Raw genomic sequence first — 14,410 nt, 5'->3', positions numbered from 1 at the left:
AATTTACTTGCATATTTAGAATTACAATATTCTTAATATACTTCTTGATCTTAACAAAACCTAGGCCAAATGTTAATCAAATCAAGCTGTTCAAAGTTACTTTATAGCACATTCCTATGAACACACCATACACACAGCAATATCTAGCAAGGGTGTCAATTTTTCGTTATTTTTAAAAGCTCATTTAAAGAAGTTATTTACTACAAATGACTCTACACACACACACGCGCGCGCGCGCGCGCACACACACACACACACACACACAAACCTTTTTAAAGAAACGCTAGAACCCAACCCCCTCTAGGCCAGAGGAAAACATTACAGCTGTATACGCACTTGTGCCTGTTGCCGTAGAGTAATACGGTAGCAGCAGGAGATTACGGTACTAGCTGGGCTACTGCCTGAGTTACGTCAGCGAGAGCTGCAAAGTTCCTTGCTATTCTTTTCTGGTGTCGGGGAGCTGAATATTAAAAGGGTGATTGTGGAGTTACCGGTTATCTGCATTTTTTTTTCTTTTCTTATTTTGACTCTTTTTAAAAAATGCAGGTAAAGTGACAGCGGTTCAGGAGCTTAAAGACATCAGTGGTGGAGGGGTGAGTCAGCGGGTGCAAAAGGACAAGGATTTGGTGCCTCGGAGACACGGTCCCCTCTCCGCCTCCAGAGAAGAGCAGGCAGGCAGCTCCCGGGACCGAAGCCGGGTCCACATCCCCCGCGCGCGAGCTGGTGGCTCAGCAGCGGCGCTTCAGGTGAGTGCGCCGGGGCCGGCGTCCCGCAGGGCCGAGTGGGTGAGGGCAGACCTCCCCCGCCGTCTGGTGAGACGGAACCCCCACTTTTCCCAGCGCCTCCCGCTTTTTCCACCAGGTTTTATACCGGCCCCTCTACCCCACCCCCGATTCCCTTACATCTTCTGCGAAGTTGCCTTCTACTGAACAAGTGTCTTTTTAACCCTGTGTTTATCACCCTCGAGGTAGGAGGAAAAGGGTTTCTGCAGTGGCACGTTTTTAATACCACCTGTGAGGTCTCCAACTTGCGATTTTAACAAGAGTCTTTGCCCGAGGTCCCACCTCAGGGCCCAACCCCAGAAGGCAAGGTGGGCACTTCCTCACGCCGCGCTGTCCTGCCGAGTCCCTGCGGTAGGTTCGCAGTTGTGGAAACCCAGGTTTCTTACGCAGATGGTGGCCCCCAGCCCAGAAAATCGAAGGCGGCCCCTGCCCGCTGGCATGCCGGCTTAATGTTTACGCCTGCAAAATCCGCAGTGACTGTCACTTGCAAAGCTCCCTCTGCAGAGGGACGTCCTCCCCACCCCGTCCCCCGCCAGTCCCGCTACGGCTGGCAGCTGGAGCCCCTCGGGTGGCCAACAGTGAGGCTTGGAAAGGCGTCGTGGACAGACCTGGGTCGCTTTCTGTCTTCGGGTCCCTCCCGGCTTCGCTCGGGACCTGGCTCTCAAGCCAGCTTGGCTGGTGGACAGACCGGTGCGCTCTGCACACCCGAGTGCGAATTCCACCGGCGTGAGAGTGAGCGTGCTCGTGGTCCTGGCCCTGAGGTCCCTGGGTCGCAGCTGTTCCCTCTCCCAGGCCGCCCCCTCCAGGTGACTGCGAGGCAACCTGTTCTAACGGAAACCGAGTACATCCTCCAGAATTCCCCGGCTAGGATCCGTGCGACACACTCGCCAGCCGCAGTCGCCCCTCCGGGGCTTCGAGGATTTTAATTTCGTGGTACCTGCGCTCGAAATCCAGACTTCGAGCGCTGGAGCCTGGGGTTTTGGGGATTTGTTTTTTTGTTTGTTTTTCGCTTCGGATCCTGAACTCGGGCAGAGGTGACTCAGTAGAGTGCGCTAGGCAGGTTCCCAGTGGTGGGGGCGCGAGATGAGCTCCGAAGTCGCCTCCACCGCTGCCGGGCGAAGCAGCTTCTGGACCGCAGAACCAACCCGGCTCCCAACTGGTGTCCCCCAACCCGTCAAGCTCAGCACAGCCTCTTTCCCTGGGGCGCCTAGCTCAAAGCCGCCTTTCTCTTTGCGCTCTTTCAGGTGGACGCGGTCAAACGATGCCCCGCAGCCTCCTGGGTCTCAGCACATATTCCACACCTACGTCCCCTGACCTGTGCTCCTAGAAGCTGGAGAGAGCAGGAGCCTTCGGTGGGGCAGCTCAAAATGTAGGTAACTGCGGGCCAGGAGCAGCGCCCAACCTGTAGCGCTGCGCTACCCAACCATCGGTCCCTGCCTTTGAGCGTCGACGGCTGATCTTTTGGTTTGAGGGAGAGACTGGCGCTGGAGTTTTGAATTCCGAATCATGTGCAGAATGCTGAATCTTCCCCCAGCCAGGACGAATAAGACAGCGCGGAAAAGCAGATTCTCGTAATTCTGGAATTGCATGTTGCAAGGAGTCTCCTGGATCTTCGCACCCAGCTTCGGGTAGGGAGGGAGTCCGGGTCCCGGGCTAGGCCAGCCCGGCAGGTGGAGAGGGTCCCCGGCAGCCCCGCGCGCCCCTGGCCATGTCTTTAATGCCCTGCCCCTTCATGTGGCCTTCTGAGGGTTCCCAGGGCTGGCCAGGGTTGTTTCCCACCCGCGCGCGCGCTCTCACCCCCAGCCAAACCCACCTGGCAGGGCTCCCTCCAGCCGAGACCTTTTGATTCCCGGCTCCCGCGCTCCCGCCTCCGCGCCAGCCCGGGAGGTGGCCCTGGACAGCCGGACCTCGCCCGGCCCCGGCTGGGACCATGGTGTTTCTCTCGGGAAATGCTTCCGACAGCTCCAACTGCACCCAACCGCCGGCACCGGTGAACATTTCCAAGGCCATTCTGCTCGGGGTGATCTTGGGGGGCCTCATTCTTTTCGGGGTGCTGGGTAACATCCTAGTGATCCTCTCCGTAGCCTGTCACCGACACCTGCACTCAGTCACGCACTACTACATCGTCAACCTGGCGGTGGCCGACCTCCTGCTCACCTCCACGGTGCTGCCCTTCTCCGCCATCTTCGAGGTCCTAGGCTACTGGGCCTTCGGCAGGGTCTTCTGCAACATCTGGGCGGCAGTGGATGTGCTGTGCTGCACCGCGTCCATCATGGGCCTCTGCATCATCTCCATCGACCGCTACATCGGCGTGAGCTACCCGCTGCGCTACCCAACCATCGTCACCCAGAGGAGGGGTCTCATGGCTCTGCTCTGCGTCTGGGCACTCTCCCTGGTCATATCCATTGGACCCCTGTTCGGCTGGAGGCAGCCGGCCCCCGAGGACGAGACCATCTGCCAGATCAACGAGGAGCCGGGCTACGTGCTCTTCTCAGCGCTGGGCTCCTTCTACCTGCCTCTGGCCATCATCCTGGTCATGTACTGCCGCGTCTACGTGGTGGCCAAGAGGGAGAGCCGGGGCCTCAAGTCTGGCCTCAAGACCGACAAGTCGGACTCGGAGCAAGTGACGCTCCGCATCCATCGGAAAAACGCCCCGGCAGGAGGCAGCGGGATGGCCAGCGCCAAGACCAAGACGCACTTCTCAGTGAGGCTCCTCAAGTTCTCCCGGGAGAAGAAAGCGGCCAAAACGCTGGGCATCGTGGTCGGCTGCTTCGTCCTCTGCTGGCTGCCTTTTTTCTTAGTCATGCCCATTGGTAAGTCTTGAACACCCCTCACTTTAGCATCTGGGGGTCTTCACCCTCCTCGGCTTCTGTTACCCCAGACTCCCAGTCCGGGATGGAAGAGGAAGGATTAGCATTTCAAACAGCACAGCTCTAGGGCAATTAGAAAAGGCTCCCTTGTAGAAAAGTGAATTTTCATTCTCTTTCTACTCCAGTCTCATTTATATTAGGTCCTAGAGCACTTTTTCGACTGTAAAGTGGCTTCCAACTGATGCAGATTAATTGGTCTCTTTAATAAGAATGTCAACTTTTCTTAATGCCTATAAGCACGTGTTCAATTTAAATGCATCTGCTCTCTCTAGTCTCAGAGTCTCCACCAAGTGCTTAGGCTGACTGTGGAATGCCATTTTCACTCTGCTACAGAATGCAAATTCTCTTGGCCTGAAAATAAGTACCATGCTTATTCTGGACAAATGTGTGATTTTATTATTGCATTAGGTTATTCATAAGGGTTTGTTATAATGGTCTGTTTATGTTCTATATCTGTGCTAATTTTATTTTCTGGATTCAGTATGGAAGGAATTATGGTCAGCCACTAAGAAAAAAAAATGATTTTATGTCCAAACCAATTTAAGCCTTAAATAATTAATCATAGTATTTCCAATAAGTAAATACTTATTTTTTTATTTTAATAATAAGTATTAAAACAAACACTTCTCTTATCCAAAATCATCCGGGAAGTTGCAGATAACACTGTTTGAAAATAATACAGTACACATAATGTTACAAATCCAATTTTTGCAGATGCTAAATTAGCTGTTGTCAAAATTAATTAGCTCATTATAAGTATCAGCAAGCTGATCCACTTGGAATAGACATCTATCTCCTTCAATGAGATCCCAAAATGGTTGTGTGCTATTTTTAGTTTGTAAGCTCAAATACAGACCCAAACATCGATTATCCACCAACTCTAAAAAACAAAACATTATGCCTAACATTAATAAAAGTCCATTTCAAGTGCTTTACAGCCTAATTTAAATGGCATATACTTAAAGTACTTTAATTTGCAACTCTGTGGAATAATAGCAACTATTATTTTTTTGTGCCACTTATGTTCCAGACATTTTCCTAAGCTTTTTATTTCATTAGTCCCCTCGACAACTCAGTGAGTTATACACAATTATCCTGCAATCACAAGCCATGGGAAGGGATTCTTCAGGTTCTAATACCATAGCCACCAGCCAAGGATAGCTATTTAAATGTTAATTGAAATTAAATAAAATTCTTTCAGTTCCTCAATTCCTCAGTCCCACTGACCACATCTCAAGTGCTCCATAGTCACACGTGGCCAGTGACTACTGTTTTAGACAGCAGAGATATAGGTCATTTCTATCATTGCAGAAATGTCTGTCCTGTAGGGCTGCCAGAGAGGCCCTCCTTAATCCAATACCTGGCCTTCCATTGTGCCTGCCCATCATTATTACTTACTCTGCTCCTGGAAGTACATCACAGCTTTGAAATTATAGAAATTACACTCTTTACCTGAGCCCCTTTGCACACGTATTCATGCGTGTGCTCGCTCAACAAGTATTTATGGACCATCTGTTCTAGGCACTTTGGATGAACAGGGCAGAAAAGTCCTTGCCAATGAGACGGTTGTATTTGGAAAGGGTAGACATAAGCAAATGATTGTATCCTAAAATGTCAAGATTAACATGCACTATCAAAAAATCAACAGGATGAGAGGCTAGAAAGTGACAAAGACAATGAGGGCCTGCTTTAGTGGGTAGTGGGGAAAATTCTGTCTAAAGAGGTGATATTTGAGCAGAGTCCTGACTGGACTGAAGAGCAAAGCTTGCAAGATCTGGGAAGAAGAGCTTCCTGGGCAGAGGGAGCAGCGAGTACAGAGATGGGAAAGAGCCTGACCTGTTCAATGAAGATCACAGAGGCCAGTATGGCTCAACTACAGACAGGGAGGGGGCAGTCAAGTTCAAGAAGAGATTGGAGAGATAGACAACACCAAAGTCATATGGGGTCTTTCAGGCCAAAGTAAAGTTTGCATATTATTCTAATTGTGGTGGGAAGTCATTCAAGGGTGTTTAGCAGGTGAGTGGCCAGTCTCATTTATATTTTTGAAGGATCATTCTGGTTGTTGGGGGGAAAATTGGCTGTTTGGGGGCAAGAGCAGAAGCAGAGACTAGTTAAAAGGCTATTAGAAGTCGAGGGGAGAGAGGTCATGACATCTTGGACTCAGGTGAGACAGGTAGAGGTGGTAAGACGTGATCACATTCAGCACTTATTTTACAGGTAAAGTTGATGAGTGTGGACAAGGGTGTGAGAAATAGGTAGGTTTAGGGCCTGAATAGCTGAGTAAATAGTAATGCACTTCACTAAAACTGGCAAAACCAAAGAGTTATGTGGCTGCAAGGGGCTGCAGGGAGTGAGAAGTATGAGCCTTTCTTTTGTATCACTGTGTTGAGAAACATTCATTAGACATGGAAGTAGAGATGGCAAGTAGGGAGTTATACACTTTACATAGATTTGGAGCTTAGAGAGGAGGCGGGCTACAGATATAAACTTGGGATATATCAACATCTTTAAAGCTACAAGAATGGAGAGGTTGACAAGAGAAAAGATAAAGAGAGTAAAGAGAGATAAGAACAGAGCCTCTGCACCTTTAGTCCCAGCTATTTGGGAGGCTGAGGCAGGAGAATCGCTTGAACCCGGGAGGCAGAGGTTGCAGTGAGCCGAGATCATGCCTGCACTCCAGCCTGGGTGCAGAGCGAGGCTCCATCTAAAAAAAAAAAAAAAAAAAACAGAGCCTCTGGGGGTCAGGTCAGGAAAAACAGGAGAAACAGCCAGCAAACAAGATTGCAAAGGAGTAGCCAGGGAGAAGAAAAATCAGGAGAATGTGATGTCCTGGAAGCCTAGTGAAAATGTTTCAAGAAGGCAGGAGTAATCAGCTGTGTCACATGCAGCTGAGAGGTCAGGTTAGAGGAGGACTGGGAGCCAACACTAGATTTGGCAGTAAGCAGGTTTTTAGTGATAGGAGGAAGGCACGTGAGGCTCACAGGTCCAGAGGAGTGATGGAACCAAAAGCCTGATTGTGTACTTTCTAGAAAGAACAAAGGATAAAAAAAGTGGGAACAGGGAAAATAGACAACTCTTCTGAAAGGTTTTGCTATACACTGGAGCTAGGAGATGCGGTGTAGCTGGAGGGGTATAGAGAGAGCTTTCAATGGTGGGAGGTGGGGATATGACATGATATTTATATTCTGATGGGAACGATGGGATAGAGAGAGGCACTGATGGGATAGGCAAAAGAGGCAACGGGATTCAGTGCCCAAGGGGAGCATTGGGAAGTGACAAGGAGAGCAAAGTGTGTGAGCCCTGAGGCAAGTAGAGACAGAGGGAGAGAGATAGTGATCTCTTTAGGATATGTTTATGTCCTCAGTGAAATATGAAGCAAGGTCATCAGCTAAGAGAGAGTCAGGAATGGGGAACGATGGCAGTTTTAGCCTCAGAGAAGGTGTGAAAGATTCATCTTTGAGAGTGGGACAGTAAACATTTTATGGAAGTTTGGTAGAGTCACTGGGAAGTCCTGAAGGCCTATCTGAGATTTACGGTCATAACATTAAAGTACAGCGGGAAGGAGGGTTGTGTGTTTTTCTCTAAGAGCTAAGCAGCTGAGGGATACAGGAGGCAATGCTGAGGACCTACTGTGAGTCCCAGAGAGTGTGTGTGTGAAGAGACACAGACTCGGTCAGGTTAGGGAGCATCCACAGCCAGGTTGTAGAAGGAGCCCAGGTGACGATGGGTGGCCTGAGAGTTTGGAGCTTGCAGTGGTGGCTGAGCTATGCATAGAGATGAGAAACAATGGCCTGGGTCCTGGAGTCATCTAGGGGAGGTGGATGCTCTGACTAGTCATAGCCCGCTCTTGGATTTGCTCTCCCAGGGAGTCAGCAGTGTGGAGGAGAAGATGTTGTGGTGGAGAGAAGTGGTGGTAGACAGGAGCCCTCGGAATCACTGGGCTTCTTTTAAATCCTAGTGAGGTGCCAGGCGCGGTGGCTCATGCCTCTAATCCCAGCACTTTGGGAGGCTGAGCAGGCGGATCACTTGAGGTCAGGAGTTCGAGACCAGCCTGGCCAACATGGTGAAACCCTGTCTTTACTAAAAACACAAAAATTAGCTGGGCATGGTGGTGCACGCCTGTAATACCAGCTACCTGGTAGGCTGAGGCTGGAGAATCGCTTGAACCCGGGAGACAGAGGTTGCAGTGAGCTGAGTCACACCACTGCACTCCAGCCTGGGTGACAGAGCGAGATTCTGTCTAAAAAAAAAAAAAAAAGAAAAATGATATGACAGGAGGGAAGTAGGGAACATACAGTTCACAGGGTCTGAGTAGCTGCTCAGTAGTGCAAAGGATCCCTGAACCTGCCAGTCTGTGGCTCTCAATTTCTTCCTGACACCAATTGAGTAAGAGATGATTTCCTCCAAGAATGTACTGGCTATGTAATAAGCACCAGGCTCTCAGCTACACAGAATAAAAAAGATGAATAAAACACAGTGCCCTCAAGGGCCTCACAGTCTAGTTAAGGAGACAAATTGTCAACAATTATTGCAAGTCTATGACATAGGTGCTCAGAGTGATATTATTACATGGTGCTCAGGATGGTGCTCAGAATGATATTATTACAGTGTGCTAAGGAATATAGCAGTTCATTGTGCCGAGAGGTCACTGAGAAGCTTCTACATGCATGACCATTGACAGAGCAGAGACTTAAAGAAGATGGCACTACTTCTGCTGGGTCGTCAACGAGATGTTATATGTTTTTTTATTAACTGTCTTAAGTATGTTTTTCATGCAAAATGTGAGCAGAAGAATAAATATACTATCATATTATTATATTCAAGGGACATACATTCTTAAATATGACGTGCTGTTTTGGAGAAAAGGGCTGTCGGTCTGCACTAGGCTGCGGGAGAGGAAAGAGATTAAAAACTGAAACCAGGGCAGGGATGAGTGTGCTATCCACAGCTGAGAAGTGAAACACCCATGTTTAATAGGGACTGACCCAGGAAAATCAGGTGAGTAGGCTATTTGACTGCAAAGGTCCTTCCTGTATATTGTGAGAAGTCTCACGTTCCCTTTTCCCAAGCTTCTTTCCACTAAGGCTGGGTTGCTTGCTGCATTGAATAGCATGACTGTTGGGAGGAATCTGACTTGCCTGCTTCCAAGTCTAAATCTTGCTAATCTTGTTCCATTTTTGCATCCTAAATGTTTGGTTGAAATTCAGAATGCCTTCAAGGGAGGGGGGTGCCATGTGCAGTTGTTAACAGTCATTTATACTTTGGAGCAAATGCTTTCAAAAGCAAATTTTGGCCATGGAGATGAGTAGAGAGACTATGACGGTGTCAGCCTTCAACCTACGAAAGAGAAGGAAGGATAAGAACTCTGCTTCTCAGGAAGCTCCAGCATCTAAAGCCTATGAATCATCTTTGTTGATTTCATCTCATTGTCTAGAGCCCACTAGTTCCAGAGGCAGTGTGCTGCTGAATGGAGAAACTGTTGGCCTGAGATTTAAACCTAGGCTTTCTTTTTCATATAACAGGGGATGTTATATAGGTCAGCTGCCCAGCATAGTGCCTAACTCAGAGTAAATGGTAATAAATGTTCATCTTACCAGAATTCAAATGATTCACAGACCATTACTGATGTATGTCAACATGCAGATGTTGCCATGAGGGGTGGATGTCCTTGGCATTCTAAGAAATAGAAAGCATTGGAAAGAAGATGAAAAGGCAACAATCACTGAAAACATAGTTACGTGTCTGAATTCTGGATATGTTATCTGATTTAAACACAAAACCCAGCGTTATTATAGGACCTAAGCCATTGATTGCTGTTGCCACTGAATCAAAGGAGGCAGCATTGGGCTGAGATGTGGCTTACATAGACATAGAATATTTGAGGATTATGTTTATAAAAGAACAGGAGGCAGCACATTGATAGAGCAGAAAAATGTGTTTTAAGATTGGATGTTTGAGGAGGGCACAGCTGGCAGTGGATTTATCAGGTGGAGGCAATGAGGCAGAGAATGATTCATTCATTCATTCAGCAGTTTCATTGAACATATACTGTTTGCCAGGAAGCTATAGAATCACTGGAGATAAAGACAAATAAATCCCTGCCCTAATGGAGCAGAACATCTGAACAATTAGATACCTAGCAAAGGTATATGAAAAATGACAAGGAAAAAGGACAAGTACATACAATGATATATGATAATCCCAAACCCTCTGCGGATGCCCAAGATAACCAGGGGTTGAGGGTTGCTTCACTGCAGGTACAAAGGGAGCAGTTCCCTAGTTCTCATGGAAAAGGTTCACCTCTTAGAGATAATGGTGTGAAGAAAAACTAGTGCCATTAGGATTTATTTTATTTTATTTATTTATTTAATGACAGGATCTCATTCTTTCACCCAGACTGGAGTTCAGTGGTAATCATAGCTCACTGCGGCCTCGAACTCAAGTGATTCTCCCACCTCAGCCTTCTGAGTAGCTGGGACTACAGGCATGCACCACCATGCCTGGCTAATTTTTATATTTTATTTTTATAGAAATGGGATCTTGCTGTGTTGTCCAGGCTGGTCTTGAGCTCCTGACCTCAAGCAATCCTTTTTCTTTAGCCTCCCAAAACATTGAGATTAGAGGCATGAGTCACCACACCTGGCTAGAATTTATTTTAAGATAAGAAGCCAGCGTTTCAGTTACTCTTACTACACCACAGACCATCCCAAAAGGTAGTGGCTTAAAGCAGCAGCCATCTATGTCTCATGATTCTATGGTCAAAAGTACGTCAGCACCCAGCTTGCCTGGCAATTGAAGCTGGCTGTGAGTCTTGGTGGCCTCTGTTCCCTTCTAAACCACCTTCTTATAGCATGGCAGCTCTCCCCCAAGAAAGTCAAGGCAGAAACTGTGAGGCCTTTGAAGAGCTAGGCTCACACCTGGTCCAGCATCACTGCTGTTTCATTCTGCAGTCACAGCAAGTCAGGAGACCAGCCTAGGTTCAAGGGGAAGCGAGACAGACTCATCTCTTGATGGGAGAGCAGCAAGTGTGTACACAGAGGGGCAGATCATTGTAGTCCTCTTGCAGATCACCGACCTCACAAGTGTGCCAAATTACATTTCTCTTTAATCCATCAGTTATATTGAGAACTTCCCATATGCCAGGCTTCATGCAATGCACTGAGTAAAACCAACTGGGATCTTTGCCTCCCTGCAGGCTTCTAATCTCCAGAAGGAGATAGACATTAATCAGATAGCCACACTAAGTTATCGAAAACCGTGTACAGAGCAATGAAGGGAACATAAATGGTGCCTTGAAAATATGTCCTGTGGCTAAGGGTGGTCCTGGACTGGGAGGGTAGAAAGGTCTTTCTGGGAAGGAGGGCTTGACTATTAAGTCCAGATCTATTGAATGAGTAGGTGTTTAAAGGCAAAAATGGGGAGGGAGGGAAGAGAACGTGCGAAGACTTTAGTGGGGCTGGCTTAATGTCCATAATGACTTTCTAGAAGGCCACTGTGGCCAGAAACAAGAGGCCAAGAGATAACTGGTGTCCAGTGAAGCTGGAAAGGGAAGAACCAGACTAAACAAGGCTTTATAGCCATTATACAAGTTTGTGTTTTTATCCAAAGATGAGCAGGAATGACATGATAGAGTTTATACAGCATTTCAAGATTATCAAAGGCTTAGTGAAAACAAGATTGTGGATAGACCAGTTGGGAGACCTTTATGCAGGACAAGGGGAGCTGTATCCTGCCAAGTGCAATCCTTCTACCGTGCCATTTAAAAAACTTATTTCCGTGAGCTGCCACATCGTTCTGGAATGCCTCTTTTGTCACTGCCTTCAGAGCTTAGATTTATGAGAAAAGCTTTCTCGTGATCAGAAATAGTATAACCAGACTTGGCTTTAAATTAATTTTGGCTCTTTCCACAAGACAAATCTGTCAATGAAGATTTACCATCATTTTCAAAAGAACGTGCTGCAGGCTCAGAAGACATCAACAATGAGCTCTAACAATGCTTTGAACAATAGCTGACTCTTTCAAGTCAGGCTATAGACAAGTGAGTTATTACTTGGATGGAGTAATAATCCTTAGTCACTTAGTAACAAAGTCATTGCTGTGTTCTGTCACCTCATGGTTTCATGGTGGATATGAGGACAGTTTTCTAAGGCATTTTCTTTGTCTAACAAGTTTACTGTATTTTAGCCCTGCTATTTGGTTTGCCAGTTTGACACTTGCCTAGTGGCTTTTCATTTTTATGTTTTCTATTTCTTCGCTATTTGAATGTTTCTTTTCTTTTCTTATTTTTTTCTTTAAGTTCTGGGATACAAGTGCAGAATATGCAGGTTTGTTACATAGGTGTACATGTGCCATTGTGGTTTGCTTTACCTATCAACCCATTATCTAGGTTTTAAGCCTGGCATGCATTAGGTATTTGTCCTAATGCTCTCCCTCCTCTTGCCCCCCAACCCCCAACAGGCTCCAGTGTGTGATGTTCCCCTCCCCGTGTCATGTGTTCTTATTTGAACATTTCTTTTTATATTTTTATCCATCACTTATATTTCTCCTCTTGTGAAATTTCCTATCTGTGCTTTTTGGCCACTTTTTATACAGCAGTTTTTCTGTCTTTTTTTTTTTATCGGTAAGCTCATTTTATACATTGAAGATAAATAATTACTTATTTATCACAAATCCTGGGTTGCCAGTCTTCTCACACTATATGCAAATGTGCCAAGAAGATGTAGCTTATTTTCCAAAAACGGATGTGATCTTTTCTACAAACTTCCATGGAAATACACATATGCATGCACTCACATGCACACACACACACACATGCATGCACACACACTTTTAGTTAAATTTAATAAACTCATTCAAATCCAATAATTTATGCATCATCTTTGCATATTCAGTCTCTTGGATGCCTTGGTGTCCTAGTCCATTCAGGCTGCTATAATAAAATGCCATAGACTGGGTGGCTTGTAAACAGGAATTTATTTCTCACAATCCTCGAGGCTGGAAGTCTGAGCTCAATGTACCAACAGATTTAGTGTCTGAAGAAGACCTACCTTCATCTTTATGGATGGTACCTTCTAGCTGTGTGCTCACTTGGTGGAAGGAGTGAGGCAGCTCCCTGGGGCCTCTTTCTGCATCACCTCCCAAAGGCCCCATCTCCTAATATCATCACACTGGGGGCCAGGATTCCAACATAGGAATTTCGGGGGTGGGGCACAAACATTCAGACCACAGCACAGGGCCTTTCAGATCTGCCCTCTAAGATACTGACCACGCCTAGGGGCTTACAAATGTCATAGTAGTCAGAGAGGGTTTGACTATGACTCCATTGTTTCCTGGCTCCAGTGACACTGGCTCTGTTGCTGTTGGCCAGGGAGTCACTTTGTCCCTGCAGCCCTGTGAACAACTTTGACAACCTCCTGCACCAAATTCTCAACAATGTTTCCATCCCAGTCTCAGGGCACAGAGAGCCTGGTGGGTTCCTTCCACACCACACTCTCTACCCCACCACACTGGCTGCCACATTAACAGGTATGGTGGCTCTCATGGAAAGGACTGACTACACCCAGAATGGAGAATGGGAGAAAGCACCTCTGCCTGCTCCCCCCCCCCGCCCCGCTTTAACTTCAGGCATTTTTTTGTTCCAGACATGGTCTTGCTGTGTCACCCAGGCTGGAGTGAAGTGGCACAATCATGGCTCACTGCAGCCTAGAACCCTGGGTTCAAGTGATCCTCTCTTCTCAGCCTCCTGAGTAGTTGGAACTACAGACATGCACCACCGTGCCCAGCCAATCTTCAGGCATTCCTACCACTCTTGTTGAGAGAGAGGGCTCAGAACAAATGCCAACTGCCTCTTTCCACTACCTTCTTCCCCACCTTTCTCACAGTCCCTCAGGGAAGACAGGGAAGTCTTTCCTCTTCCTTGTTCTGGCTAAAGGGGACACTCCTCCTCCTTTCCAGAGTGGCATCCACCTTCTATGGAATAGCAAAGCCAAGTGGACAGCAGAGAGAGAGAGAGGCAGAGAGAGAGAGAGAGGCAGAGAGAGAGAGAGGTTTACTAAGAAAAGAATAAAGATGAGGAATATTTTAAAATATTATAATCCTTATACATATTTAAAACTATCTTTTCCACTTGGTTATTTGCATTTTGTTGTTTTATGGTTTTTGCAAATGTTTAGACATTTAAAATATTTATATAGTCAAATATTTTCATGTTTTTTCATTGAATGTGCCTTCTCAGGGATGCTCAGAGAGACCTTCCACAATGTAAGTCTGTTTCCTCCTCATTCTTTTAGAGCATCATTTGTAATCTACCTGGAATTCATGTTTGTATTTTGGTAGATTATGCCTCACAGTATTTATTTTGAAATGGTTAGCCAGATAGTCTCAAAAGGCTTATCAAATAATCCATCATTTCCTTTCTTATTTGGAAAACCACATTTGTTATATTAAAAAGAATTTTGGATCTATTTTGGAATACACTCGCTTCTTTTCCATTTATCTGTCTCTCTGCTCTAGTATTGCTGTCACATTACTTTAATGGCTGTGGTTGCATAATACATTTTAATATTCTCTAGGTTAAGGCCTGGATGAATATTCTTTTTCAAAATTATTTTGTCTATTGTACATTCATTCTGCCAAGAAAACTCTGGATTCATTTTGTCACTCCATTTACTTCCCAAACTACTTTTGAACTGTTGTTTAGACTTTAGTTTTAAGCACATCTGCTAACATCTCCTGGAAAATTGATTAAACAATGATGTT

At 46.4% G+C, this 14,410-nt stretch overlaps 1 protein-coding gene and 2 long non-coding RNA genes across 15 annotated transcripts in view, besides 1 other annotated feature; 2 read left to right on the top strand and 1 right to left on the bottom strand.

Annotated features, from left to right (window-relative positions):
- Positions 303-14,410, top strand: part of ADRA1A (adrenoceptor alpha 1A) — a 119,230-nt gene continuing 105,122 nt past the window's right edge. For 6 of the 13 annotated variants that reach the window (NM_001322503.1, NM_033303.4, NM_001322502.1 and 3 more), the window contains exon 1: positions 2,027-3,595. In NM_001322503.1, coding sequence (NP_001309432.1) covers positions 2,713-3,595 — 883 coding nt within the window. In that variant the 5' untranslated portion in view covers positions 2,027-2,712. Of the gene's footprint in view, positions 747-2,026; positions 3,596-8,476; positions 8,651-14,410 lie in introns of those variants that run through there. The other 7 variants (XM_006716293.5, NM_000680.4, XM_017013096.2 and 4 more) reach the window with 4 other exon arrangements.
- Positions 1,183-2,134: an enhancer, noted in NCBI's record as "H3K27ac-H3K4me1 hESC enhancer chr8:26723065-26724016 (GRCh37/hg19 assembly coordinates)". NCBI's record gives its function as "activates a minimal SCP1, AML or CMV promoter by ChIP-STARR-seq in naive and primed H9 embryonic stem cells {active_cell/tissue: H9 hESC(naive and primed)}" and the evidence as "EXISTENCE:reporter gene assay evidence [ECO:0000049][PMID:30033119]".
- On the bottom strand, positions 8,900-12,788 carry LOC124901917 (uncharacterized). The gene is made up of 3 exons (XR_007060866.1): positions 12,700-12,788; positions 9,247-9,328; positions 8,900-8,989 (listed from the first exon to the last, which is right to left on the bottom strand). It is a non-coding gene; the product is annotated as an uncharacterized LOC124901917 (long non-coding RNA).
- On the top strand, positions 12,107-14,115 carry LOC124901918 (uncharacterized). The gene is made up of 2 exons (XR_007060867.1): positions 12,107-13,177; positions 13,294-14,115. It is a non-coding gene; the product is annotated as an uncharacterized LOC124901918 (long non-coding RNA).

The sequence above is a fragment of the Homo sapiens genome, chromosome 8, assembly GCF_000001405.40.
Source record: "Homo sapiens chromosome 8, GRCh38.p14 Primary Assembly".
Taxonomy (NCBI): Eukaryota; Metazoa; Chordata; class Mammalia; order Primates; family Hominidae; genus Homo; species Homo sapiens.
This window is presented reverse-complemented; position numbering and strand designations above follow the sequence as displayed.